This window comes from Homo sapiens, chromosome 16, assembly GCF_000001405.40.
Source record: "Homo sapiens chromosome 16, GRCh38.p14 Primary Assembly".
Classification (NCBI taxonomy): domain Eukaryota; kingdom Metazoa; phylum Chordata; class Mammalia; order Primates; family Hominidae; genus Homo; species Homo sapiens.
The window spans coordinates 8,809,019-8,837,008 of NC_000016.10; the positions used below are offsets into that span (position 1 = coordinate 8,809,019).

Consider the following 27,990-nt stretch of genomic DNA (forward strand, 5'->3'; position numbering starts at 1 on the left):
AAAGTACCTTTACATAACTGGCATGTTTGATTTTTAACAAGGCCCTTTGGAGGTAACCAGAGCAAGTGCCATTAGCCTTTCTGTAGGTGAATAAGAGGAGGCTTGGAGAGGTGCCCAGAGCCACACAGCCTCCTAAGAGGCCACACTGACATGGAATCAGGTCATCAGCCCTGCACGTGGCATGTGGTCTCTCGGTATTTCCAATGGCCAGTGCCAGGACATCAGGTCTGTGAGATTAAAATAGTAGAAAAAGATGAGGGAAAATGTTTCATAGGGTTCCCAGGCATCAGCGTTTAGAACTGGAAGACACTTTTCACTGCATAGTTTGTCAGAAAATGCTTAAATTTCATTGGTCAGAATGATATCTAGCTTACAAGTTATCTGAACTTTTAAGAAACTGGGTGGTTTTCTTTTTTTGGTTGTGGGGTTTTTGTTTGTTTGCTTGTTTTGTTTTTTTTGAGACAGAGTCTGTCTCCCAGACTGGAGTGCAATGGCATGCTCTCAGCTCACTGCAACCTCCGCCTCCCGGGTTCAAGCGATCCTCCTGCCTCAGCCTCTCAAGTAGCTGGGACTACAGGCATGCGCTACCATGTCCCGCTAATTTTTGTATTTTTAGTAGGGACAGGGTTTCATCTTGTTGGCCAGGCTGGTCTTGACTCCTGACCTCAAGGAATCCGCCCGCCGCAGCATCCCAAAGTGCTGGGATTACAGGTGTGAGCCAAAGAAACTGTTTTCAGACTCAAACTGGAAACCGTGGAAAAAAACTCTTTGTTTTTTGTTTTTTATTTTTTGTTTGTTCGTTTGTTTTTTGAGACGGGGTCTCCCTCTGTTACCCAGGCTGTAGTGCAGTGGTACGATCTTGGTTCACTGCAGCTTCCACTGCCCGGGCCCAAGCAATCCTCCTGTCTCAGTCTCCCAAGTAGCTGGGAATACAGGCATGTGCCACCATGCCCGGCTAATTTTTGTATTTTTTGTAGAAACGGGGTTTTGCCATATTGCCTAGGCTGCTCTCAAACTCCTGAGCTCAAGCCATTCACCCACCTTGGCCTCCCAAAGTGCTGGGGTTAATAGGTGTGAGGTACCGCGCCCAGCCAAAAGAACATCTTTAAACATCGTCATTTGAAGTGACTAAACTAATGTTAGCTTCTCATTTTCTGTGATCAAATCAAACATTTAGGAGCTGTCTGCTACTGGGTAAATTGAATTTCCTCAGTTATTACTGAGGCTCGTTGGACAATTCTCAGAGCCTTTTTCTGTGTAGCTTTGCTTGGTACTATCAGTCTGTTCAGAAGCTCCGTAGCAAAATAGATGTCTGGTACATGTATTTTCAAACTCTTCTAGGAAATGACTGCTGTTGCCAGTGCTGGAAATCATTTTCATAGCTCTTTATTAACCACAAAATTATCTGCCCAGTAGCAGCACTGTGCAACAGAAATAGAAAGTGAGCTATGTATAATTTTAAATTTTCTGTAGCCACATTTTGAAAGAATGAAAAGGAAGAGGTGAAATGAATTTTAATAATATATTTTATTTAGCCTGATATTTCTAAAATATGACTTTTTTTTTTTTTTTTTTTGAGACAGGGTCTCACTCTGTCACCCAGACTGGAGTGCAGTGGTGTGATCTCAGCTCACTATAACCCCTATCTCCCAGGCTCATGGAATCTTCCTGCCTCAACCTCCTGAGTAGCTGGGATTATAGGCATGCATAACCATGCCAGGCTATTTTTTGTATTTTTTGTAGAGACAGAGTTTCGCCATGTTGTCCAGGCTCAAAATATGAGCATTTTAACACAAAGTCAATATACAACATGATTGATGCAATTACATTCCTTTTTCATACTAAATCTTTCAAATCTAATCTCAATTCATATTAGCCACATTTCAAGTCTTAATAGTCACAGTAGTTCATGGCTACCATATTACATAGCACAGAGCTGAGAAACATTGACCACACTAGCCTCTGCTTTTTAGAATTTCCCAAGATTTTAGGCTGTTTATCTATGTTGCCCAAATGAATAACGTGTTTTTGGAGAAACTCTGTCACCCTTTCATTCCCAGGGGTACTTTCATTGAATTCCGAAATGGGATGTTAAACGTGTCCCCTATTGGAAGAAGCTGCAGCCAAGAAGAACGCATTGAGTTCTACGAACTCGATAAAGTACGTCTTTCTGAAATATCTTTGGTGAATGGCTGGGTTTATGGAAATAAGATATGGCCTGGTGTGGTGGTTCATGCCTGTAATCCCAACACTTTGGGAGGCCAAGGCAGGAGGATCACTTGAGCCCAGGAGTTCAAGACCAGCCTAGGCAACATAGTGAGACCTCATCTCTACAAATAATAAAAAAAAAAATTAGCTGGGCATGGTGGCACACACCTGTGGTCCCGGCTATTTGTTTGGCTGAGGTAAGAGGATCACTTGTGCCTGGGAGGTTGAAGCTGCTGTGAGCTATGATCATGCCACTGCGCTCCAGCCTGGGCAACAGAGCAAGACCCCCATCTCAAAAACTAAACAAATAAATAAATCAATAAGATAATCCTACCTTTGTGGCCAGTAGTTAAAACTGTGCTTTCTAAACTGCAATACAAGAAACAATTGGTATCTTTTTGTTTTTCTCAGAAAGAAAATATAAGACAAAAGTTTGTAGCAGATCTACGGAAAGAGTTTGCTGGAAAAGGCCTCACGTTTTCCATAGGTATTGTATATATTGCCTGTGTTCCAAACTTGGATACCCATTTCCCAGAGTTTGTTGTGGGCCAGTGAGCTATTGATAATGAAGTATGTGCAGTTTTAGGTGGGCAGGAAGATTAAATGAGCAGTCCAGTCTATAGACAAAAACCAACCACTCTCTTTTCTGCATAATTAGCCATAATAGGACTTGCCTAGTCAAGAAACAGCTTACACGCTGTTGGGCTTGGTTCTAAATTCTTACCCAACAGCATTCTTCCTACCTGGACTCCTCTCATCAAAAGAGGAGCACTTTGATTACTAAAGAGTAGGAACTTCTCACACCTTTGGGCAGAAGAGAAGCACTATAGTGAACTCCATAAGGGAGACATGGAATTGAACCCCTTAGGTAAACTAGACCGATGTTTTGGAATCATAGAATGTTTCAACAGCAAGGAACCTTAGGGGCCAATTGGGTGGCTTTTACAGATCAAGAAACTGAGGCCCAGAAAGGAGAAGAGACTTGTCCAAGTTCACAAAGCTGTTGTTTACACAGCCAGTGTGTGAACGTTTCTGGTGTCTAATGCAGAGTTCTTCCTGCAGCACGGACATCTCAGGCTTGTCTTTTGTTAGAATATTCCTGCCAAATGCTTTGCACACCGATTTCTCTTGTCAGTGCTAATGAGTCATTGCTCAAAGCCTCCTCATTTTACTAGCTTTCATCAAGGTAGAGGTTGTAGGAAAACTGGAATGGCAAAGGGATTATATTTAACAGATGAGTGGGTGGGTTTTTTGTCTTCCTGAACTGTGAGATGGACATCTTTCTGACAAAGCTTTGAAAGGGTTTTTGTTGCCCGTGAGCACTGCCTGTAAATCACCTTCAGTGAAGATTCTCATTTTTCCCGCAAAATATGCCGGATGCAACCTGCTTCCGGGCATTTCCCCCTGAGGGTGTGTTAAAGCCCGAGACAAGCACAGCAGAATGAGGCTGGTATCCGATTTTTCATAAGCATGCTTCCTTTAAACCACACGCTTGACAGGGCGCTTAAACGCAAATGCATTTCTCACTCTGAGTTGGCATTCTGTGCCTCAATTTTAGACCTATGTGAAATAATGCTGGAAAAAAACAATGTAGAATTAATTTCTAGAACCTATGCATGAAGTAGTCTAAGTAGCAAACTAGAGTACTGAAAATCAACCTTGGCAACCCACTAACTGACAAAAGAGTAAATTGTTTTTTTCAGTGACATATCATTAGCCCCTTTTTCACCTTTTGCCTTTGTGTGCCCCGTCCCCACCCGGCAGGAGGCCAGATCAGCTTTGATGTCTTTCCTGATGGATGGGACAAGAGATACTGTCTGCGACATGTGGAAAATGACGGTTATAAGACCATTTATTTCTTTGGAGACAAAACTATGCCAGTAAGTAGAGAAGTGTTTGTGCACCTTCATTGTTGCATTTGCGCTTGATGGGGGAAATTGACAACTGGGCTGTTTTTCCTGTACCTACACTTTACCCACCCGCCCTGCTCAAACTGAGCAGTGGCTTCTGTCCTGGAGAGGTGGGTGATTGAGCCACCTTCCCCTCTAAGCTCAGACCCCCGACGCCTCTGTGGAGGCAAGGATCACACTGCATGTTAGTTGAACCTTTTCACCTTGGCTTTGGAATTAAACGTTGGCCACCCTATGTGCCTTCCAGAATACCAGTCCCCGGTGCCACTGTCAAACCCTCTGCGTTTCAAAGCTCTGGCTGTTTCAACCTCATTTTTCCACTGTATTTGTCCACCCGAGGCATTCATTCTAAGTTGAACACGAGGGGCCATGAACGATGGGAGGATAGGGAATGATCTCATGAGCCTGAAACAGGAGAGGACACCAGCAACAGCAAAGAGGCCAAGTGAGTCCCAGGCATCACACACGGCGGGTGCTTGGAGCTGCCCCCAAGGGATGTCAGAAATCTCGAGTTCAGGGCCAAATCTAAACTGAGAACTGAGAGCAGAGCCCAGTGTTAAAGGCCAGGGCCAGCAGGAGGAATACATAGAAGAAATGCCCCCAGGTGTCCTCTCCGTGGGGCAAGGTGGATCCCCAGGAGGTCAGAGAGGCGTTGCTGCCATCAAAGGCCCAAGAGGAGGCTCATCACCACCCAGCTTTGGGCCAGCTCCTTTTCTTTCTCTTTTTTTTTTTTTTTTTTTTTTTTTCTGAGACAGAGTCTCGCTCTGTTGCCCAGGCTGGAGTGCAGTGGTGCAATCTTGGCTCACTGCAACCTCTGCCTCCCAGGTTCAAGCAATCCTTGTGCCTCAGCCTCCTGAGTACCTGATATTACGGGCATGCACCACCACACCTGGCTGATTTTTGTGTTTTTAGTAGAGATAGGGTTTTACCATGTTAACCAGGCTGGTCTCAAACCCCTGGGCTCAAGTGATCCAATCAACTCGGCCGCTCAAAGTTCTGGGATGACAGGTGTGATTTTTAGTACAGACAGGGTTTCATCATGTTGGCCAGGCTGGTCTTGATTCCTGGCCTCAAGGAATCTGCCTGCCTCAGCGATCCACCCACCTCGGCCTCTCAGTTCTGGGATGACAGGCCGCGCCCAGCCCCATCACCTTTTCAGTTACTCCCATCCTCTGGGCCCCTCTGCCTCCCTCCCACATGCAGGCTGGGGGTGTTGGTTACCTTGCCATCAGCAGGCCCGTGTCAGGCTTTCTCGCCATCCTGCACCTAGCAGGTGCATCATAAATGCTGCATATTCAGAGTTTCTCATCCCTCTGATCTCTGGTCCACTCCAAAATCCTTGCTGCACTGCTAAGATCTACCCATGAAAGATTTGCTTTTCAGCAGGGTCCCCACGTCACAGTCTTCCAGCATGAGGGGTACACAGTGGTAGTAGAGGCTTGTTACTTATTTTCAGAATGATAAAACTGAAACCCATAAAGGGTAAGGGATTTGCCGAAGGTCACACGGCTAATGACAGAGCTGGTGGCACCAGAAGAAGTCTACCTGTTCTTTGTATGTTTTAAATAGCTTTATTGAGGTATAATTGATCAGCAAAAGCTGTACATATTTAACGCTCACAGTTTCGTGAGTTTAATCATTGTGCCTCTTTGGTTTTGGGGGCGGTTTGGGATTTTTTTGTTGCTATTGTTATAAGAACACTTAACATGAGATATTCCCTCTTAACAAGTTTCTAAGTGTACAATACAGTATTGTTAACTATAGGCACTTCTGTTTGTCCAACAGATCTGTAGAACTTACACATCTTACATAACTGAGACATTACACCCATTGAACAACAACTCTCCATCTCCCTCCTCCACCGCCCCGTCCCTGGCAACCACCGTTCTTTTCTCTGCTTATATGACTTTAGCACCTTTAGATATCTGATACAAGGGGAATCATGCAGTATTCATCCTTCTGTAAGGGGCTTATTCACTCAGTATGTCTTCTCAGTTTACTCATGCTGGCACAAATGGCAAGTTTCCTTATTTTTTAAGGCGGAATAATGTTTCATGGTATGAATACACTATATTTTCTTTCTTTTTTTTTTTTTTTTCTTGAGGCAGAATCTCGCTCTGTCGCCCAGGCTAGAGTGCAGTGGCACCATCTTGGCTCACTGCAACCTCCACCTCCCTGGTTCCCTGGTTCAAGTGATTCTCGTGCCTCAGCCTCCCGATTAGTGGCTGGGATTACAGGAGCCTGCCACCACGCCCGGCTAATTTTTGTATTTTTAGTAGAGACAGGGTTTTGCCACATTGGCCAGGCTGGTCTCGAACTCCTGGCCTCAAGAGATTCACCTGCCTTGGCCTCCTAAATTGATGGGATTACAGGCGTGAGCCAGCGTGCCCGGTCAGAATATACTCCATTTTCTTGATCCATTCTTCTGTCAGTAGACACATGAGTTGTTTCCGTATCTTGGCCATTATGAATAATGCTTCAGTGAACACGGGGGTACAGATACCTCTCTGAGATCCTGACTTCGTCCTTTTGGCCATCTACCCATGGATTAAAGACTTAAACACAGGACCTGAAACTGTAAAACTCCTAGAAAAAAAACATAGGGAAAAAGCAATGATATTTTAGATGTGACACCAAAAGCACAGGCAACAAAAGCAAAACAAACAAGTTGGACAACGTCAAACTAAAAAGTGTCTGCACAGCAAGGGAAATAATCAGAATGAAAAAGCAACCTACAGAGGGGAAGAGAATATTTGCAAACCATATATCTGATAAAAGGGCTAGTATCCAAAATGTATAAGAAACTCCAACAACTCAATGGCAAAAAAAAAAACAATTTAAAACATGAGCAAAGGACTTGAATAGACAGTTCTCCAAAGAAGACATGCAGATGGCCAGTGGGTATATAAAAAAAGGCTCAACATCAGTGTTCAGGGAAATGCAAATCAAAACTACAATGAGATAAACCTCACACCTGCCAGGATGGCCATTTTATTTTATTTTATTTTGAGACGGAGTTTTGCTCTGTCACCCAGGCTGGAGTGCAGTGATGCGATCTTGGCTCACTGCAACCACTGCCTCCTGAGTTCAAGCTATTCTTATACCTCAGCCTCCCGAGTAGCTGGGATTACAGGCGCCCGCCACCATGCCCAGCTAATTTTGTATTTTTAGTAGAAATGGGGTTTCACCATGTTGGCCAGCCTGGTCTCGAACTCATGACCTGAAGTGATCCACCCACCTTGACCTCCCAAAGTGCTAGGCTTATAGGCGTGAGCCACCACACTGGGCCAGGATGGCTAATTTTGTTTTTTTTAATGTTGGTGGCTGGGTGCGGTGGCTCACACCTATAATCCCAGCACTTTGGGAGGCCAAGGTGGGCGGATCACCTGAGGTCAGGAGTTCCGAGACCAGCCTGACCAACATGGAGAAACCCCGTCTCTACTAAAAATACAAAATTAGCTGGGCATGGTGGTGCACACCTGTCATCCCAGCTACTTGGGAGGCTGAGGCAGGAGAATTGCTTGAACCCGGGAGGTGGAGGTTGCAGTGAGCTGAGATTGTGCCATTGTACTCCAGCCTGGGCAACAAGAGCGAAACTCGGTCTCAAAAAGATAAAATAAATGTTGGCGAGGGTGTGGAGAAATTAGAACCCTTGTACACTGTTGTGGGAAATGTTAAATGTCATAGCTATGATGGAAAACTACATAGTGGTTCCTCAAATTAAAAATAGAACTGCCATATGATCCAGCAGTTCCACTTAGAGATATATATCCAAAATAATTGAAATCAGGATCACAAAGAGATACCTGCTGTTTAAAATAAAATAAAATAAAGACAGGGTCTTGCTGTGTTGCCCAGGCTGTACTCCAACTCCTGAGTTCAAGCAATTGTCCCGCTTCAGCCTCCCAAGTAGCTGGAATTAGAGGCGTGCACTACCACAGCTGGTGATACCTGCTGTTTAAATGAGTGTGCTTTCCACTACGATAAGCTCTCTCTCAGTGGGGTAGAAAGATCTTGTTCTAAATCCCAGATGAACTGGGTACTTTGAAGGAGGTGTAGCATTCAGGTTTGTTCTTAATGACAGTTACATATGGTTTTATAACCACATCCTTTTGTTGAAATGCTTTTGATGCAGAAATGCTTTCAGTGCAGGCTTTGAAAAAGATCACCGTCTGACTTCATGTCTTTAAAAAAATTAAGCTAATGAAATGACACCTAGGATCTAAGGGATGCCCGGAAGCTTCCTCAGTCCTTCTCTAGCTTGGTGCCATTTCTTGTAGACAGAGAGGAGAGCTATTAAGACACACGACAGCAGATTGTTCTGTAATGATGACATTCTTGCTTCATGTAAATAGCCATTTAGAAGCCTCAGTTGGGACTTTGCAGAATGGAATGCAGTTCTTGGATAATCAGAAAATGACTTATTTTGGGAATTCTTCATTTGGGAATTAGAGGGTTTTCTATTCTGTTTAACCATTGCATTACCATGCCTGGATTCTATTTTTAAAATCTTACCTACGTTTTAAAAAATGAGTATTATTTAATGGAAGCTTTCCCCCAATTGTAAATTAACCTGTGCATTCATTATAGAAAATTAGAGAAAGTACGAAGAAGAAAAAGAAAGTCACCTATAATCATCCAACAATGTCCCAGCCTTTCTATGTATATGATCCCAAAAGTGGGATCCTTACATGTTGTTTTAGTTTTAGTTTTCTTTCTCTTAACGTATTTTATTTTTATCATATTAGTGAATATTCTTTGCAAAGAAGATTTTTTTTTTTTTTTGAGACAGAGTCTTGCTCTGTCACCCAGGCTGGAGTGCAGTGGCGTGATCTCGGCTCACTGTAAGCTCCACCTCCCGGGTTCACACCATTCTCCTGCCTCATCCTCCCGAGTAGCTTGGACTATAGGTGCCCACCACCACGCCCGGCTAATTTTTTGTATTTTTAGTAGAGATGGGGTTCACCATGTTAGCCAGGATGGTCATGATCTCCTGACCTCGTGATCCGTCCGCCTCGGCCTCCCAAAGTGCTGGGATTACAGGCGTGAGCCACTGCGCCTGGCGCAAAGAAGATTTTTAATGGCTGTATAATATTCTCTCATTAGGCATCAGTTACTCACCTCCCTTGCAGAGGCACGTTGGGTGGTTTAAGGGGTTTTGCTATCATAACTAATGCTGTGGTGAACATTCTTGCACGATTCTTTGCCCCCATCCCTGATCCTTTTCGTCAGCGGTTTTCTAGAAATGGAAATTAGCAGTCCAGCCATGTAAACCTTCAAACAACCTATCAGTTCTTGAAACTTCAGGTGCAGAGCAATCCAAATACTAGCCTTACACTTTGCATTTTCAGTGATAGACATTTAGAAAGCTGGGGTTTTTTCCTTTCCTAATGAAGTTTGATGTTTTTGCCGGCGTCCAGGGAAGTGATCCTGAGCTGAGGCTGTCAGTAAAAAAGCCATTTCTCAGCCAGGCCCTGAGGCTTAGCAGCCTCTTCCAGCAGCACAGCCTCCAGGAGGCAGAGTCTGGTGTTACATAAAGGGTGCCATCTGCTTGGAGCAACTCGAGAGCAGAGTGAGGAAGTGTGGCGTTGGCCGTTGCTTTTCAAAATATTTGCCATCTTCAGAAACCCTGTCATTCTTCCCATCAGCCACAAAAGCCAGTGTTTCTTAAAATCTGGCTCTGAGTTCAGCATGGAGGCCCTGGGCCTGGCATGGAGTACCTTGGTTTGTTGCAGAGAGAGAGAGACGGCAAGGGCAGAGAGCACACACCACACATGGCTCTGCATGGCTTTCCAGAAACCACCCTGGCTGGATCACCCTCAGCCACTCTGAATTCGCAGGCAAGAGAACCTGTACTTACCCATGCTTTCTGTAAAAGTCATCTTGGCTTTAAGGCAGTTGCAACATGAAAACATTCTAACACTTCATGAATATCAAGCAGCTGGTTTGGTTTTTGACTTGACGCTTCCATTTTGGGTAATTTGGCTATCAGTGCACTCAAGCATGTGTGAAAGACTCACGCAGAGGGTTCAGGGTTGGGGACAGCCCCGCTGCTCCTCAGGAGGCTGGCCACATGACAGTGGTCTGTCTCTGCACTGGGATGCCATGTAGCTGTAAAAAGAGTCCATGTGGACCCATCTCTAGGGCTTTTTGTTAGGTGATCAAAGCAAAGTGCAGGACAATATAAGTAATGTGCTGGCTACATTTTTGTCTAAAGAGGGCAAAGGAATTTCTCTTTTTGTTAGCTTATAAATGCATAAAAGGAGTCTGAATGGATGAAATTTACAGAGGTTACTGTGGGGGTGGGGAGGACAGGAGAGAGAATTGCCACCTAGGTCTTAACTCTTTCTTAATATGTTTGAACTATATGAATGTGCTATCTATTGAAAAATAAAATTTTTAAATCAACTTGAGAAAAGGATCTGAGTAATCCCTGTAATCCTGGCTACTAGGGAGGCTGAAGTGGGAGGATTACTTGAGCCTAGGAGTTCAAGATTATAGTGAGCCACGATTGCGCCACTGCACTCCAGCCTAGGCAACAGAGCGAGACCTCGTCTCTTAAAAAAAAAAAAAACAATAAAAATTAAAAATTTTTAAAAATTGAAAAAAGGGAGGAAATGTAAATCTTCCAGCACTTCCTCAGTGTCAGACCCTGAGCTGGACACTTATGTTGTACATGCTCCCAGGGGAGACAGCAGCATCCTCCCTCTTACAGAGGAAGCACAGTGGGAAGTCCAGGGTCTCAGCTAGTCAGAGACTAAGCTGGGATCTGAAAGCCTCGCCTCTGTCATTCTCCTACATCGCTTCTAACATGCTACCTGCCTTCCTTTTAAGTAAATTGTGCAACATTTTATTCTCCAGAAATGTTAATAAGGAAGATCTGCCTTTAAAATTAGCTTAAAAATACAAAAATTAGCTGGGCGTGGTGGCGCATGCCTGGATCCCAGCTACTCAGGAGGCTGAGGCAGGAGAAGCGCTTGAACCCGGGAGGCGGAGGTTGCAGTGAGCTGAGATTGTGCCATTGCACTCCAGGCTGGGCAACAGAGTGAAATTCTGTCTCAATAAACAAATAAAGAAAAACAAAATTAGCTTAAAAGAGGTTTGTATCAGTGTGGACCATGTTGACCCAGATCTGGCCCCACCATTCACCAGTGACCTTGTGACAGTGAGGACAGTGACAGTGACCTCGTCAGCCCAGTGAGGACACAGTTCTTCTTTTTTTTTTTTTTTTTCCTGAGACAAGGTCTCACTCTGTCACCCAGACTGGAGTGCAGTGGCGCAATCTTGGTTCACTGTAATCTTGAACTCCTGGGCTCAAGTGATCCTCCCACTTCAGCCTCCTGAGTAGCTGGGATTACCGGTGCCCACCACCACGCCTGGCTAATTTTTGTATTTTTAGTAGAGACGGGGTTTCACCATCTTGGCCAGGCTGGTCTTGAACTCCTAACCTCAAGTGATCCGCCCACCTTGGCCTCCCAAAGTGCTGGAATTACAGGCGTGAGCCACCACTCCCGACCACAGTTGCTCTTCTGAAGGAGTCATATGAGAATGAAGTGAAGGCATCTGAGGAAAGTGGGTGACGCAGGGCCTGACTCAGGAAAGGCAGCTGGGACATGCATCTTTGGCCTGGTCCACAACCAGCGTCTGCTTCCTTCACTTTCTAAGAAAGTTATTCAAAGGCTCATCTGTTATTGAGATTTTCCTAAGAGATTGGAGCCTGCCAAGTCCCTCAGTGAAGGGCCATCCTTGTGAGTGAGCACCTTCCTACACACCTTCCAACAGTTCATTAGAGCGTGAATTAGTGAACCATGTCCTCCTGTCCTCAGGTTCCAAGTTAGGCTTTGGATGGCAGTTGGCCTTTGCGATCCTGGACTTAACCATGCCTAGCATCTGTAGCTCTTTCAGGACTCAAGGCTAAGGAGGGCACAGAATGGATTCTGTGGATAGATCTGTCTTACTACTTATTGCTGGGACCACATGATTTGAGACCCAGGTCTTCTTGTGTGGCTGGTGGCAGACTTAGCTTCTTAACATGTGAGTCCCTCACTCCTGGAGGGACCCTGAGTGAATTGCCGCTCCCACAGTCAGCTTCCAGAACTGACTGGCAGAAATTGATGAGAGGTTCTCAGCCTGGTGGAGATGTCCCACCCGCTCCTGTGTGGGAGGCCAGGAAGCAGGGTGTCATGCATGGGAGCCACGAGCTTCAGATGTTCCTGCTAGCCCACCTTCCTCCTGAGTGCCAGACTCCACAGAGTCCATGGCCCTGGGTGTTGGTCCCAGGAATAGGACTGTGGCTAACAACCAGCCCACAGAGTGAGCATCCCTGCCTGTGTCTGTGCTGAAGCTCTTTCATTCAGGGAGACACTGGCTTCAAACCCCTGGAGTGGGGCTGGCCTTCCAGGGAGCCCCTTGATGTCCGCAGAATCGGCATCTCCTGTGGGCATTCCAGGCCCAGATCCGTCACAGAGCTGTCTCCTCTGCCCTTGAAGGCCGGAGAGGTGAAATGAGAGGGCTGTGCTCAGAGCCGTCAACAGACCCAAGGGTCACTCGCCCTAGGGCCACTAGCCCCTTGGCCAGCTCAGGTTCCACCCTCGCCCCCAAGCCAAGGGGTGTTTTTTCCTAGATTCTAAGTCACTGGTGCTCAGCCCTGGATATATATTGGAATCACCTGATCACTTTCAAAACATCATGACCCTGGGCTTGGGCCATGCCCCAAACAAGCATTTTTAAGGCATCCCCAGGGACTCTAGCCAGGGAGAGCCACTACTGCTCTACGCCATTTCAGAGCAGGCTCTTGTCTCATTGGCCCTGTAACTGCCCAACAGGTTCTCCTTGCCCACTGCCTAGACAAGAGCCGATTTATCAAGACAGGAGAGTTGCAGTAGACAAAGGGTAATTCACGCAGAGCTGGCTGTACAGGAGACTGGAGTTTTATTATTCCTCAAATCAGCCTCTCCAAGAATTTGGGGATCAGAGTTTTTAAGGATAACTTGCTGGGTAGGGGCTTGGGAAGTGGAGATTGCTGATTGGTCGGCTTGGAGATGAAATCATAGGGGGTGGAAGTGAGTTTTTCTTGCTATCTTCTGTTCCTGGTGGGATCAAAGAGCTGGTTGAGCCAGATTACCTGTCTGTGTGGCATCAGATACTGCATCAGAACACAGGGTCTACAAAATATCTCAGGCACAATCTTAGGTTTTATGACAGTGATATTATTTTCAGGAGCAATTTGGGGAGGTTCAGACTCTTGTAGCTAATTTGTTAGTCCTACAAAGGCAGACTGGTCCCCAGGCAAGAAGGGGGTTTATTTCAGGGAAAGGGCTGTTACCGGCATTGTTTCAAAGTTAAACTATAAACTGAATTCCTCCCAAGGTTAGTTTGGTCTGCATCCAGGAATGAACAAGGACATCTTGGAAGTTAGAAGCAAGATGGAGTCATTTAGGTCACCATCATAATTTTCTCAGTTAAAATTTTTGCAAAGACAGTTTCAGTTCCTCCTGTTGGGTTTTATAATACCTTATTCCTAATACTTCATACTGTGGGATATGAAGATGGGAAAAGAGTGATAACCGCTCTAGCTTCTTTCTGCTGACAGGGAGCGTAGTCAGGGTAGGTGTTGACCCAAAGGTAGGAGGAGTGAAACCACTTTGCAGCTGTCTGCTTCTACTCAGGGGTTCCTGGTTAGGGTTTGAAGGCCTGCATGACAAAGGCATTAGTATTCTCATCTATAGTTTTAACAAATGAGTCCTAGGATAAAGAGTGAAAGTCCTGGCTTCAGAAGCTTTTGTAGAATTGATCCTAAGCTCTGAGGGACCCAGGTAAATAGCTCCAAGAACCAATCAGACATGGGGTTACTAGCAGAGAGAGATTTGGGTCAGAGGTTGTTAGACAGACAGATTGGGGTAGACAGGAAAGAGGAAATTTAAATATACTCATCCTTATCTTTTTAGTCAGTTTTCCTAGTCCTAAGACTAGATCAGTTCAGTTAAACAGCTGTTTCCATTATCAAGAGATGGCACTGGAGATGGGCTAGGCATCTTTAGTTATAGAGGAGGAAGGCAGTGGCAATTTGACATGTTTTTGTCATCTGTATTACAAAGAATAAGCTTCAGCTTGCAGGGCCTCAGGAAAAAGGTAGTAGCAATTTAATTGAGTCCAAGTCAGAAAAGTGGGAAAAAAAAATTGAAAGCATTAGTTTGGGAATTGTAGCCCACAGAGAATTCAGGATTTAGTCCAAATTGCAGGAAATAATAAAAACTCAAGAACAAAGGACAAGACTAGAATCTAACAGCAGGGTGTATCATAGTTTTTTGAAACACTTTTTTCCCTCTCCCATCCTTATTTTTATTAAAGACAAACCGTAGTAGGACAAGTTTACTTGCAAAATAAGTCATAGTCTTATTAAGCTTGGCCTGATTATTTGTATAAAGTAAAGCAAGAATAATTGTTTGCCAGATAGGCTGTTTTTAAAATTGGCTTTGCTGAAACTTTGTTCCATAAGAAATCTCAGGTTAGACTTTTTTAAAGCCTCGAGCCCAGCCATGGATTTATCTACTATACCTGCAAAGATAAACCTGTATGAGTTGGGTGAAATTTTTTCTTCTCATGGTCCTAAGATAATTTGGGGCTCCTGGGCCTGTCAAAAAGTGACGGTCTTTATTTACCACAGTTCAGGAACCCCGTACAGGGACTGTGTAGACAAGGTATGAGGCCAGCTTTTCCAAGGGACTTCTATTGGCTCTGTTAGTCAACTTTGTTCCTTAAAGCAGTCTGTTTATATTTGAAAGTATGTCGTACCAGTCAAAGCCTTGGTAAAGTAACCGGCATCTCTAATTGTATCCTATTACAAAAGAAAACAGATTGTTACTGCCCTTGCACAAATAATTATACTGCCATAAGTTGAGAATACTCACAAATAGTTTCCAAATTCTGGAGAAATCAGAGAGAAGGCAATATGCTCTAAATTTTGCTCACAGAAGTATACTTTAACTCAATTGTTAAAGTTGTAAATAGCTCAAAAGAAAAATAGTTTTCTGGACTCTGAAAAACAAAAGGATTAACAATGTTTAACACATCAGCTCTCCATGAGGATCCTAGAAGTTTTTTTTCCTCCATTCCAATGGCACAATTTGTAAAGTTATCAGAGACCTGCATTCAAGAGTACCCATTAGAGTACTATATCTGATTATAAACTGCCTTTTGAAAAGGATAAAACCAAGACAGCAACTGCCTGTGGGTAACAAAAGTCTCAGGACAGCCGTAGTTAAAGATGCAGTCAACAAGGAAATCTGGTCATCTCTGTGACACACAGTTTAACAGAACAGTTATAATTATTACTCATAACATATACTGAGACGTATCAGAATTATAGGAGTCTTACACAATTTTGTAACACATACTAATAACATAGTTATACGACTATAAACCCAAAGAAAGTTAAACACTTTTTTATATTTGACAGTGCTTCCTACATAATTTTAATACACCAAATAAGCCAAATATGCCTCTTTTGGACTTTAGGGGACTTTTTTTTTTTAACTTAGAATTTGATCTTGGGAAGTTTGTTAAATATCAAAGGTTTGAAACACTAGATATCACAAAGTAGAATCCCAGGTCACCATAAGTAATTCATTTAGCCACAATGATAACTCAAACATTTTGTAACAGGAAAAACCTTTACTCTGATAGAGAGAAGACTCAGCTTTCTAAACAACAAAACCCAGTGAAGATAGCATGAGGCCAACTGAATCTTTCTTTTATTTTTTTTAATAGTTTACTCCAAAGCCAAATAAAAATCTTTCATTGTCTCTCTCTGTCAATATTACATAAAAATATTCTTCAAAAGAGAAAACCAAATTTTATCTCGCATTAGTGCATCTTTAATGCTAAAGCTAGTTTTGTTTTTGTTGTTGTTTGAGGTGGAGTCTCGCTCTGTTGCCCAGGCTGGAGTACAGTGGCACGATCTCAGCTCACTGCAAGCTCTATCTCCTGGGTTCATGCCATTCTCCTGCTTCAGCCTCCCGAGTAGCTGGGACTACAGGCGTGTGCCACCACGCCTGGCTAATTTTTTGTATTTTTTAGTAGAGACGGGGTTTCACCATGTTAGCCAGGATGGTCTTGATCTCCTGACCTCGTGATCCACCCACCTCGGCCTCCCAAAGTGCTAGGATTACAGGCATGAGCCACTGTGCCCGGCCTGTTGTAGTTTTGAGACGGAGTTTCACTCTTGTCACCCAGGCTGGAGTGCAGTGGCATGATCTCGGCTCACTGCACCCTCCGCCTCCTGGGTTCAAGCGATTCTCCTGCCTCCCAAGTAGCTGGGATTACAGGCACCCACCACCACTCCTGGCTAATTTTTGTATTTTTTAGTAGAGACTGGGTTTCGCCATGTTGGCCAGGCTGGTCTTGAACTCCTGACCCCACGTGATCGCCCACCTCAGCCTCCCAAAGCGCTGGGATTACAGTTGTGAGCCACCACTCCTAGCCAAAGCTAGTTTTTAATAAAATTTTACAAACAAATGTATCCGATTTTAGTTTGACTGTAGGGTAACATTTTCGTAAACCTTTTATATAACCCTTTATAATTGTTTGTTAACAAATCAGTGTTCAAAAATAAAACACTATTTTTTTTTTTTTTTTTGAGATGGAGTCTTGCTCCATTGCCCAGGCTGGAGTGCAGTGGCACATTCTCAGCTCACTGCAACCTCTGCCTCTCAGGTTCAAGCAATTCTTCTGCCTCAACCTCCCGAGTAGCTGGGACTACAGGCGTGTGCCACCACGCCCGGCTAATTTTTGTATTTTTAGTAGAGACAGGATTTCACCATATGGGCCAGGCTGGTTTCGAACTTCTGACCTCGTGATCTGCCTGCGTCGGCCTTCCAAAGTGCTAGGATTACAGGCATGTGCCACCGCATCTGGCATAAAACCCTATTATTTTGATATATGGGCCCAGATTCTGGCCCTGCATCAGTATGCTTTTAATATTTAATTTATGGAAAAAATTAAATAATACCCTTTCGATTTTAGCCAGCTTGCTCACACACAGAGTTGTTCACAAAGTTAATTTTTCACAAACCTACAATTTGCTTAAACTTTCAGTTTTATTTTGTCTTTCAACCAAAAATAATCTTTAAACTCTCTAAATTAGAGAAGATTTTCTCTTTTAAAAAAACCCATATTCCCATGTCTTTAAGCAGTTTTAATTACATACCAAGTGCAGAGCCTAGAATACAGGACAGAACTGCAGATAAAGTCTGACTCTCTCTGGCCTAGCTAGGAGTCATGGCTACCTCCATATGTCCCCAGGCCTTATCTGGAATCTAATGGCTCTAAAGTAGGTAAATTGAACAATTACAAAAGTCACAGAAGCCACTTATGACCTTAAAGCATCCAGCAGAAACAGTATCTGATCTGCCTAATTCAGACCAAATGAAGACAGTTTTATTTCATCAATAATCTTTAAAACTATCTTTATTTACCAAAGATTACTAACGTCATGTGAACTAAAATGCATTAGAGTTGCTATTTCTTTGAAAAAATATTTAAGTGCTTATTTTTTAAGCCAATTAATTACAGCTCTTAAACATCACACACACAACATTATAAATATATAGACCGAAGAAGATGCATTAGTTAAGATTTTTCATTTGCTGATTTTTTAGGGGTTTTTTTTCCCCATTTTACAAATCTTGTCACGACTCACAGAGACCATCTATGCCATGCTTGGACTGTCTGACTTGTCCTATGTGTCCCTCTTTCGTGAATAATCAGTCGTTCTATTTTAGGACAAGAATTTACCATACAAGATCTTTTCTCATATAAATTTCTTTTTTTATAATCATCCTTACCAAAAATACATCTTTATAGCCTCAACTTTTTTCACATATCTCTCTCCCCTACTAAAGTAATTCCTGATGCCCTCAAAAGTGAAAAAGGCCAAGTAATGTGATTCAAAACAGAACAGAGCCTTAGATTTTGAGAGGGGTCTGTCTGCTTACACTTCTTGGGGTTTTATGAGGAAAACAGAGTTTCTCCCAAAACAGGGTCTGTGGAGCCTTCTCTCTTTTTCCCAAGGAGTCCCCAGCTGTCAGAAAGTACCTTAGGTCCTCTCATGTGGGCATTCAGAGTGGCAGGAAGACAGACTGGGGAAATAATTCAGTTGACTGAGAAGAAAGACAAACAAAAACTCATTCCTCGAAGAAAAAAAAAAAATCCAGGAAGAGAAAAAGCACAAAGGCCTTTTTTTTATTTTTTTATTTTTATTTTTATTTTTTTTTGAAATGGAGTCTTGCTCTGTCACCCAGGCTAGATAGAGTGCAATGGCATGATCTAAGCTCACTGCAGCCTCTGCCTCCCGGGTTCAAGTGATTCTCGTGCCTCAGCCTCCCGAGTAGCTGGGACCACAGGCACACGCCACCAGGCCTGGCTAATTTTTGTATTTTTAGTAGAGACAGGGTTTCACTATGTTGGCCAGGCTGGTCTTGAACTCCTGACCTCAAGTGATCCCCCTGCCTCAGCCTCTCAAAGTGCTGGGATTACAGGCATGAGCCACTGCACCCAGCCCACAAAGGCCTTTTAAATGTGTGCATATATATATATATATATATATATATATATATATATATATATGCACACATTTATATATATATATTTATATATATTTATACATATTTATATATTTATATAATATATATTATATATATTGTATAATATATAATATATATGTTATATATTATATATATGTTATATAATATATGATATATATGATATATATTATATATATTATGTTTTATATATAATATATATTTATAAATATATATATTTATAAATTTATATATATATATAAAACTTGGATATCCATTTTTAATTAAGCAGATTTTAACTGTAGAACTCTTTTTTTTTTTTTTTTTTTTTACAAAATCTTTTTAAATTTCTTATTACCAGACTCTAGCCAGGATAGACAGCCAGTATTTCTGGCTTTTGAACTTTACCACAGGTAACCTCCTAGCAAAATTAATAAGTCTTATCTAAGATTATGACTTAACTACAGAAGTATAAGATGTCTCAAAGGGATGGTAAGCAGTTTTTTGTTTTTTTCTTTTACAAGATTTAGAATCTCCCCAAACGTAGTTTAGAGAAAAGAAAATTTAAGGCAGATTTCAAGGCAAGCTGTCCATGGTGGGGAAAGAATCAATAAATGGCACACAAAAAAAACTTACATAAATAACAAACCAGAGAGCACCCATTCCGTAAGCTGGGAACCAGACCCAGGCTACCACTGTGAAATAGCAAAGCTTCAGCTACTGAGCTAAAGCTGAAGGCTGTTACACTGGTCTTCCTGGGAATCCAGGACTTTACTCAAGATAATTCTTAAGGCTAGACATGACACTGTCACATGTCCTCTCAGACCAGCTACCGACATGAACCCAAAAATTCATGCCCTCTGGATGCCGGAGACCAAAAGAGGGTACCCTGACATGGTCCCAAAGTCAAGTTTTTCAGGACGTAAAACAAGAGAAGAGGGAAACCTTATCTGGTTTTTGTTGGAGCAAAGTTTGGAACTGACCAGTCTGCCAGGCTGGATTGAACAGCGGGCTTAGAGGGGTCCTATGTCCACATCCTATTCTGTGGTCCTGCTCTCCATGACAGAGGATGCAGCTGTGAGTGGGTTTGGTTTGCGCTGTATCTCCAGCTACTAAAGCAATGCTTGGCAGGTAGTAGGTGTTCTAGAAAGGTGTGTCGTATTAATGTGTGAATACTGACTCCCCCTCCTAAGTCACTGAGTGAGGAGAGAGGATGTGTGATTCATCTGAGGCATGTGAGAGCTGGTTGTGCCTTTGTCTTTGTTTTTCTTTTTTCTTTTGAGATGGAGTCTCACTCTATTGCCCAGGCTGGAGTGCAGTGGTGCGATCTTAGCTCACTGCAGCCTCCACCCACCGGGTTCCAGTGATTTTCCTGCCTCAGCCTCCAGAGTAGCTGGGGATTTGTATTCACAGCACAGAGTGCACCAGATTCCCTACAGCCTAAGTCTAGGCTCATAAGATTTTTTCTATTAATCAGACCCTTGCAGAGGAGACAAACAGTGATGTTTTCCATTCATACACGGCGAGAGGGGCCAGAAGCCTGGCTGGTAAGAAATGTTTACCCTTTTTGCCTGCATGTCAGGTTTCTGGGTTCCCATTCTCTGTAGCTTCCAGAAGAACGGAGCAGCTCTTGATGACCCTGATCGCTGCACGCTAGCTGTGGGCGCCAAGTCGCATTGCAAAGGAAAACCATCCGTTTCTGTTTTATGGAACCACAGGCAAAAGCCTCTCAATTTTTCAAGATGCTGCCCAATGGGCTGCATGGGGAACTGAATTAACATTTTCCATCCTGGCCAGAGCAGAGTACACATGACAAAACTAGTCACTATGCTCAGTGCCCAGCATCAACTTGGCAAGGCTCACACTTGCTCCCGTTGGTCTCTGTCATCTTTGATCCACTCCACTCAAGGTGGGAAGGGACGCCTTCCACCGGGAATTCAAAGGATGGTCTCTGAGCCAGATGGAAGAGCGGATGGTCACCCTCGAGGCAGCCCTGTCAAACTTCCGAGCTTCTGCTGACAAGTCCTTCAGGGTTCAGTGAATGTGACCAACCAGACAAACTAGGAGAGCCTGATGGACTTCCTTCAGCAATTCCCTTAGACATCTCCTCCACATATACAAACACATACAGCAAAACACCTTCCAGAAAGAGTTTCCAGACTAAATCACAAACCAAGAGTATTCCTCCAAACAAGTCCCCTATTCTCTGTACAATTAGGGCAGATACCCCATGCTGGGGCTACAAACAGATACCACCTAATAGAGCTAGAGATGCCCCATGATGGGGCTACAGGCAGACACCCAATGATGGGGCTACAGACAGATACCCTGTGATGGGGCTACAGTTACAGGACGTCTCCCCAGGACTGTTTATTGCAGTTAAATCCATACACCATGGGTTGGCAGCACCCCATTAGTAGAGATGGTGCCAGTGTCAGCCCCCAGTCGAAGAGAACTAGGTGGCCGCCTGGGCTGGCCTCTGGATCCATCACCAGTGAGGGGGGTTGGGGAGGCTACTGAATCGCTGGAAGATAGCCACAAGGGAGATCACAGATGAGCCCCCAAATTTGTAACCCCCTCCACAGGTTCTCCTTGCCCACAGCCTAGACAGCCAATTTATCAAGACAGGAGAATTGCAATAGACTAATTCACACAGAGCCAGCTGTGCAGGAGACTGGAGTTTTATTATTACTCAAATCAGTCTCCAAGAATTTGGGGATTTGAGTTTTTAAGGATAACTTGGTGGGTAGGGGCTCTGGAGGTGTGGATTGCTGATTGGTCAGCATGGAGATGAAATCATAGGGGGTAGAAGTGAGTTTTTCTTGCTGTCTTCTGTCCTTGGGTGGGATCAAAGTGCCGGTTGAATCATATTACCTGTCTGGGTGGCGTCAACTGCTGCATTGGAAGGCAGGGTCTGCAAAATACCTCAAGCACTGATCTTAGGATTTACAAGCGATGTTATTCTCAGGAGCAATGTGGGGAGGTTCAGACTCTTGCAGCCAGAGGCTCCGTGGCTCCAAAACCATAATTTCTAATCTTGTAACTAATTTGTTAGTCCTACAAAGGCAGACTGGTCCCCAGGCAAGAAGGGGGTTTATTTCAGGAAAGAGCTGTTATCCTTTGTTTCAAAGTTGAACTATAGGCCGGGCAGGGTGGCTCACGCCTGTAATCCCAGCACTTTGAGAGGCTGAGGCAGGCCGATCACTTGAGGCCGGGAGTTTGACACCAGCCTGGTCAACAGGGTGAAACCCCGCCTCTACTAAAAGTACAAAAATTAGCCAGGTGTGGTGGTGCACACCTGTAATCCCAGCTACTCGGGAGGCTGAGGCAGGAGAATCACTTGAACCTGGGAGGCAGAGATTCCAGTGAGCCGAGAGTGTGCCACTGCACTCCACCTTGGTGACAGAGTGAGACTCCGTCTCCAAAAACAAAAAAAACAAAGTTGAACTATAAACTGAATTCCTCCCAAGGTTAGTTCAGCCTGTGCCCTGGAATGAACAAGGACAGCTTGGAGGTTAGAAGCAAGATGGAGTCAGGCCAGATCTCTTTCACTGTTAACATTTTCTCAGTTATAATTTTTGCAAATGTGGTTTCAGTCCCTGCATCCATAATACCTAGAAATTTGATAAATACTTGTTAAACAACCAAAATAAACATCCATAGCAAGAATCGACTATAAGGCATGGTGGTGCACACCTGTAGTCCCAGCTACTCAGGAGGCTGAGGTGGGAGGATCGCTTGAGCCCAGGAGGTGGAGGCTGCAGCAAGACATGGTCGCACCAGTGCACTCCAGCCTGGGCAAGAGTGGGACCCTGTCTCAAAAATAAATAAGAGTCCCGACCACGAGCTACAGAGAGTCCATCTGTGCTATAGGAGGCATCCACACAGCACACACCCACTGCTACCAGCGAAGCAGTTCACGCAGGCTGTGATAGATCACACTGTTCCTCTCTTTGGATGATTGGGGTTCACTGCTACACTGCACAGGTCAGCAACAGCATGTACAGAAATGGGCTGCGGTGGGGAGACTCATCAGCCCCCTGGCATCTGAACATGGCCAACACTATGCCTTCTGTTTCATCCTCAGACTTTGGGACTATTAGGGATTTAAATATTAATGCGCGGATTTCACTGAGCCCTGGCCTCTCTTTGGTGCCTGTCAGGTACACTATAATGAGAAATTGGATCGTTCATTCTTCCCTCCCCCCTTCCCTCCCTTCTCCAGGGAACAGGGTTTTTGTTCTTGGAGCTTGGGAGGTGGCTGAGTTCCCCAACTAGAATCAAGTAACCTTTAGTGCATATGCAAATCCAGCATTTGAAATTTCCGGTTCTCTAGCCTTATTATTCTAGAGGGCAGCCAGCTTTCCTTTCATTTCATTTGGGGTCCGCTTCACTTGCTTTGCAGCTACTCTGGTATGCAAGCTCGACACAGCCCCAAGAAGGCTGCACCCCAGGAAGGAGCCCACCATGCTCTGAGAGTCACAAAGAAAGAAGCAGACCCTTGGCGGGAGAGAAAGGAAGGCCTGAGGCAGGTTGTGTTTGTGATGCAGATGCTCCTGCGAGCCGTGCGGCTCTCTGAAAGCGGGTGGAGCTGAGAAGCAACCCAGAGAGGCTCCTGCAGCCAGGGTCGGGAGGATTTCACCTTCCTGGATGGGAATTGATTCTCCAGACCTAGCTTTATTAAGTGTCAGCGAGTTACATGCACACAGATCACTCAGATTCCACAGACACCTCCCCACCAGCCCCCAGCAGGACCACGGGAGGAGACTCGTGCCGTTAGGCCTCTGTCCCTGCATGTGACATCTGCAGGGAAGGGCAGGCCTAGCAACTGTCAGGGGACTAGCATAAACCCTTTTTGCTTCAGGGGTCTCTTCCCAGGTAATGGCCTCTGTCCTCTTTGCACCCTGGCCGGCTGCAGGAGCCTCCTAACTGCTCCCTTCAATTGCGTCCTCACCCCGCACCCGTTCTCCAGAAAGATCCTGTTGTAAAGTAATCTGATCATGGCCCGGGCTTGCAGGCTTCAGGCGGCTACCCGTGAAATCCCAGGTGCTTACCACAATCTGTGAGGCCCGCTGTGGCCCGGCCCCAGCCCCTGCCCATCCTCCCTCTTCAGCGTCTTCTCTGATGGCCACATGGCCTGTGCCCTCACGTCCCTCAGATGCCAGGGTTCCCTCACCCTCCAGGCCTGGCAGCCCTTCCCTCCCTTTGCTCAACAAGGCGCCCAAGAGCTGTCTGTTGATGACTGGTCTCCCCAGGGCAGCTGTGATGTGGTTTTGGTTTGCGCCGTATCCCCAGCTGCTAAAGCAATGCCTGGCGGGTAGAGGGTTTCGTGCGCGTCCGTGTGAAGAGACCACCAAACGGGCTTTGTGTGAGCAACATGGCTGTTTTTTTCACCTGGGTGCAGGCGGGCTGAGTCCCAAAAGAGAGTCAGCAAAGGGTGGTGGATTATCATTAGTTCTTATGGGTTTTGGGATAGGCGGTGAAGTTAAGAGCAATGTTTTGCGGGCAGGAGTGGATCTCACAAAGTACATTCTCAAGAGTGGGGAGAATTACAAAGAACCTTCTTAAGGGTGGGGGAGATTACAAAGTACATTGATCAGTTTGGGTGGGGCAGAAGCAAATCACAATGGTGGGATGTCATCAGTTAAGGCTATTTTTACTTTTGCGGATCTTCAGTTACTTCAGGCCATCTGGATGTATACGTGCAAGTCACAGGGGATGCGATGGCTTGGCTTGGGCTCAGAGGCCTGACATTCCTGCCTTCTTATATTAATAAGAAAAATAAAATAGTGTTGAAGTGTTGGGGCGGTGAAAATTTTTAGGGGGTGGTATGGAGAGAGAATGGACGATGTTTCTCAGGGCTGCTTCAAGCGGGATTAGGGGCGGCGTGGGAACCTAGAGTGGGAGAGATTAAGCTGAAGGGAGGTCTTGTGGTAAGGGGTGATATTGTGGGGATGTTAGAAGAAACATCTGTCGTATAGAATGATTGGTGATGGCCTGGATACGGTTTTGGATGAATTCAGAAACTAAATGGAATAAGAGAAGGAGAAAAACAGGTATAAAAGGTCTAAGAATTGGGAGGACCTATGACATCTGATTAGAGAGTGCCTAAGGAGATTCAGCATAGTCCTGCCAGCAAAGATTATTTATTTACCTCAAGAGTTTAGAGTGGCAGTTTGGGGATAGCACCAGGAGATATCAGCTGTGATGGCTTGGAGAAACAGTGTAAACCGGCAGTGTAAACAAGAGCAGGGCATGTATGAGTAGTTGAGAATGGCGAATAGGAATATGACTAGACAGGAGATAGTAGGGATGACAAGTTTTGGGGGGCACAGTCTAAGTTGGTCTGGTGTCTGGAATGAGACTGGGGCCTAATAAAAAGGAGCGTCTATACAGGAGCTTACATGGGCTGTACCTTGTAGCATTCTGAGGACAGGCCTGAATTCTGAGAAGGGAAAGTGGTAAAAGTATTGTCCAGTCCTTTTTAAGTTGGAGGCTGAGCTTGGTGAGGTGTGTTTTTAAAAGACCTTTAGTCCATTCTACCTTTCCTGAAGATTGAGGACTGTAAGGGATATGAAGGTTCCACTGAATACTAAGAGCCTGAGAAACTGCTTGGGTGATTTGACTAGTAAAGGCTGGTCCGTTATCAGACTGTATAGAGGTGGGAAGGCTAAACTGAGGAATTATGTCTGACAGAAGGGAAGAAATGACTGCGGTGGCCTTCTCAGACCCTGTAGGAAAGGCCTCTACTTATCTAGTGAAAGTGTCTACTTAGAGTAAGAGGTATTTTAGTTACCTGACTCGGGGCATGTTGAGTGAAGCTAATTTGCCAGTCCTGGGTGGGGGCAAATCTTCAAGCTTGATGTGTAGGGAAGGGAGGGGGCCTGAATAATCCCTGAGGAGTAGTAGAATAGCAGATGGAACACTGAGAAGTTATTTCCTTGAGGATAGATTTCCACGATGGAAAGGAAATGAGACGTTCTAAGAGGCGGGCTAGTGGCTTGTACTATAGCATAGCCTGCCTTTGCTGCTATGTGGCGATTAGGCCTGGTGGAACCGCCATCAATAAATCAAGCGTGATCAGGGTGAGGAACAGGAAAGAAGGAAATATGGGGAAATGGGGTGAATATCAGGTGGATCAGAGAGATACAGTCATGGGGGTCAGGTGTGGTATCAGGAATAATGTGGGAGGCCAGATTGAGGTCCGGGCCAGGAACAATGGTAATTGTGGGACTTAACAAAGAGTGAGTACAGCTGAAGGAGCCGGGGAGCAGAAAGTATATGCATCAGGTATGAGGAAGAAAGTAGATTTTGGAAGTTACGAGAAATGTAGAGAGTGAGTTGAGCATAGTTTGTGATTTTTACGGCCTCTAAAAGTATTAAAGCAGCGGCAGCCGCTGCACGCAGACATGAGGGCTAGGCTAAAACAGTAAGGTCAAGTTGTTTGGACAGAAAGGCTACAGGGTGTGGTCCTGGCTGTTGTGTAAGAATTCTGACCGCACTAACCATGCCTAGGAAGGAAGGGAGTTGTTGTTTTGTAAGGGATTGAGGTTTGGGAGATTAATCAGACACGATCAACAGGGAGAGCACGTGTGTTTTTATGAGAATTATGCCGAGATAGGTAACAGATGGGGATGAAATTTGGGCTTGACTGAAGTAGTGGGGGCTGTCTGTGAAGCCTTGTGGCCGTACAGCCCAGGTAATTTGCTGAGCCTGATGGGTGTCAGGGTCATCTAACTGAAAGCAAAGAGACGCTGGGATGAAGGGTGCAAAGGAATAGTAAAGAAAGCATGTTTGAGATCCAGAACAGAATAATGGGTAGTAGATGGAGGTATTGAGGACAGGAGAGTATATGGGTTTGGCACCACGGGGTGGATAGGCAAAACAATTTGGTTGATAACGCGCAGATTCTGAAGTAACCTGTAAGCCTTGTCTGGTTTTAGGACAGGTAAAATGGGGGAATTGTAAGGAGAGTTTATAGGTTTTAAAAGGCCATGCTGTAGCAGGCGAGTGATAACAGGCTTTAATCCTTTTAAAGCGTGCCATGGGATGGGACATTGAGTGGGGTAAGGGTGATTAGGTTTTAATGAGATGGTAAGGGGTGCATGATTGGTTGCCAAGGAGGGAGTAGAGGTATCTTATACTTGTGGGTTAAGGTTGGGGGATACAAGAGGAGGACACAAAGGAGGCTTTGGATTGGGAAGAAGGGCGGCAATGAGATGTAGCTGTAGTTCAGGAATACTCAGGGAAGCAGATAATTTAAAGTGTCTCGGCCTAATAAGGGAACTGGGCAGGTGGGGATAACTGAAAAGGAGTGCTTAAAAGAGTAATGTCTAAATTGGCACCAGAGTTGGGGAGTTTTAAGAGGTTTAGAAGCCTGGCCGTCAATACCCACAACAGTTACGGAGGCAAGGGAAACAGGCCCTTGAAAAGAAGGTAATGTGGAGTGGGTAGCCTCCGTATTGATTAAGAAGGGGATGGACTTACCCTCCACTGTGAGAGTTACCCGATGCTCGGCGTCCGTGATGGTTTATGGGGCTTCCGAGGGGATTGGGCAGTGTCAGTCTTCAGCTGCTAAGCCGAGATCTGGGAAGGAGTCAGAGAGCCTTGGGCCAGAGTTCCAGGGGCTCTGGGGAGTGGCTGCCAGGTGAGTTGAACAGTCTGATTTTCATGGGGTCCCGCACAGATGGGACGCGGCTTAGGAGGAATCCCGGGCTGTGGGCATTCCTTGGCCCAGTGGCCAGATTTCCAGCACGTGTAGCAAGCTCCTGGGGGAGGAGGTTCTGGAGGAACGCCTGGCTGCTGCGGTTCAGGCGTTTGGAAGTTCTTGTGTGCTGGAGATGTGGCTGGGGTTTGTCTCACAGTGGAGGCAAGGAATTGCCACTTTTTTCTATTACTGTCCACCTTGAAGGTGAGGTTAGTTAAGTCCTGTTATGGGGTTTGAGGGCCAGATTCTAATTTTTGGAGTTTTATTTAATGTCGGGAGCAGATTGGGTAATAAAATGTATATTGAGAATAAGACGGCCTTTTGACCTTTTAGGGTCTAGGGCTGTAAAGCGTGTCAGGGTTGCTGCCAAACGAGCCATGAACTGGGCTGGATTTTTATATTTGATGAAAAAGAACCTAAACGCTATCTGATTTGGGATAAAGAAAAAGGAGCATTAACTTTGACTATGCCTTTAGCTCCAGCCACCTTTTCAAGAGTAAATTGCTGGGCAGGTGGGGGAGGGCCAGTCACAGAATGAACTGTAAGCTGGTCCAGGTGTGAGGAGGGGAGGTGATAAAAGGATTAT

At 44.8% G+C, this 27,990-nt stretch overlaps 1 protein-coding gene across 2 annotated transcripts in view, besides 5 other annotated features; it reads left to right on the forward strand.

Moving 5' to 3' along the window:
* Nucleotides 1-27,990, forward strand: part of PMM2 (phosphomannomutase 2) — a 51,487-nt gene that overhangs the window by 11,180 nt on the left and 12,317 nt on the right. For both annotated transcript variants that reach the window (NM_000303.3, XM_047434215.1), the window contains 3 exons: nucleotides 2,061-2,160; nucleotides 2,620-2,695; nucleotides 3,973-4,088. In NM_000303.3, the coding sequence (NP_000294.1) occupies nucleotides 2,061-2,160; nucleotides 2,620-2,695; nucleotides 3,973-4,088 (292 nt within the window). The remainder of the gene's footprint in view (nucleotides 1-2,060; nucleotides 2,161-2,619; nucleotides 2,696-3,972; nucleotides 4,089-27,990) is intronic.
* Nucleotides 5,555-5,654: a silencer, noted in NCBI's record as "silent region_7179". NCBI's record gives its function as "represses an Ori minimal core promoter by ATAC-STARR-seq in GM12878 lymphoblastoid cells {active_cell/tissue: GM12878}" and the evidence as "EXISTENCE:reporter gene assay evidence [ECO:0000049][PMID:35858748]".
* Nucleotides 10,178-10,227: a silencer, noted in NCBI's record as "silent region_7180". NCBI's record gives its function as "represses an Ori minimal core promoter by ATAC-STARR-seq in GM12878 lymphoblastoid cells {active_cell/tissue: GM12878}" and the evidence as "EXISTENCE:reporter gene assay evidence [ECO:0000049][PMID:35858748]".
* Nucleotides 20,460-21,061: an enhancer, noted in NCBI's record as "H3K27ac hESC enhancer chr16:8923335-8923936 (GRCh37/hg19 assembly coordinates)". NCBI's record gives its function as "activates a minimal SCP1, AML or CMV promoter by ChIP-STARR-seq in naive H9 embryonic stem cells {active_cell/tissue: H9 hESC(naive)}" and the evidence as "EXISTENCE:reporter gene assay evidence [ECO:0000049][PMID:30033119]".
* Nucleotides 26,899-27,433: an enhancer, noted in NCBI's record as "H3K27ac-H3K4me1 hESC enhancer chr16:8929774-8930308 (GRCh37/hg19 assembly coordinates)". NCBI's record gives its function as "activates a minimal SCP1, AML or CMV promoter by ChIP-STARR-seq in primed H9 embryonic stem cells {active_cell/tissue: H9 hESC(primed)}" and the evidence as "EXISTENCE:reporter gene assay evidence [ECO:0000049][PMID:30033119]".
* Nucleotides 27,434-27,966: an enhancer, noted in NCBI's record as "H3K27ac-H3K4me1 hESC enhancer chr16:8930309-8930841 (GRCh37/hg19 assembly coordinates)". NCBI's record gives its function as "activates a minimal SCP1, AML or CMV promoter by ChIP-STARR-seq in primed H9 embryonic stem cells {active_cell/tissue: H9 hESC(primed)}" and the evidence as "EXISTENCE:reporter gene assay evidence [ECO:0000049][PMID:30033119]".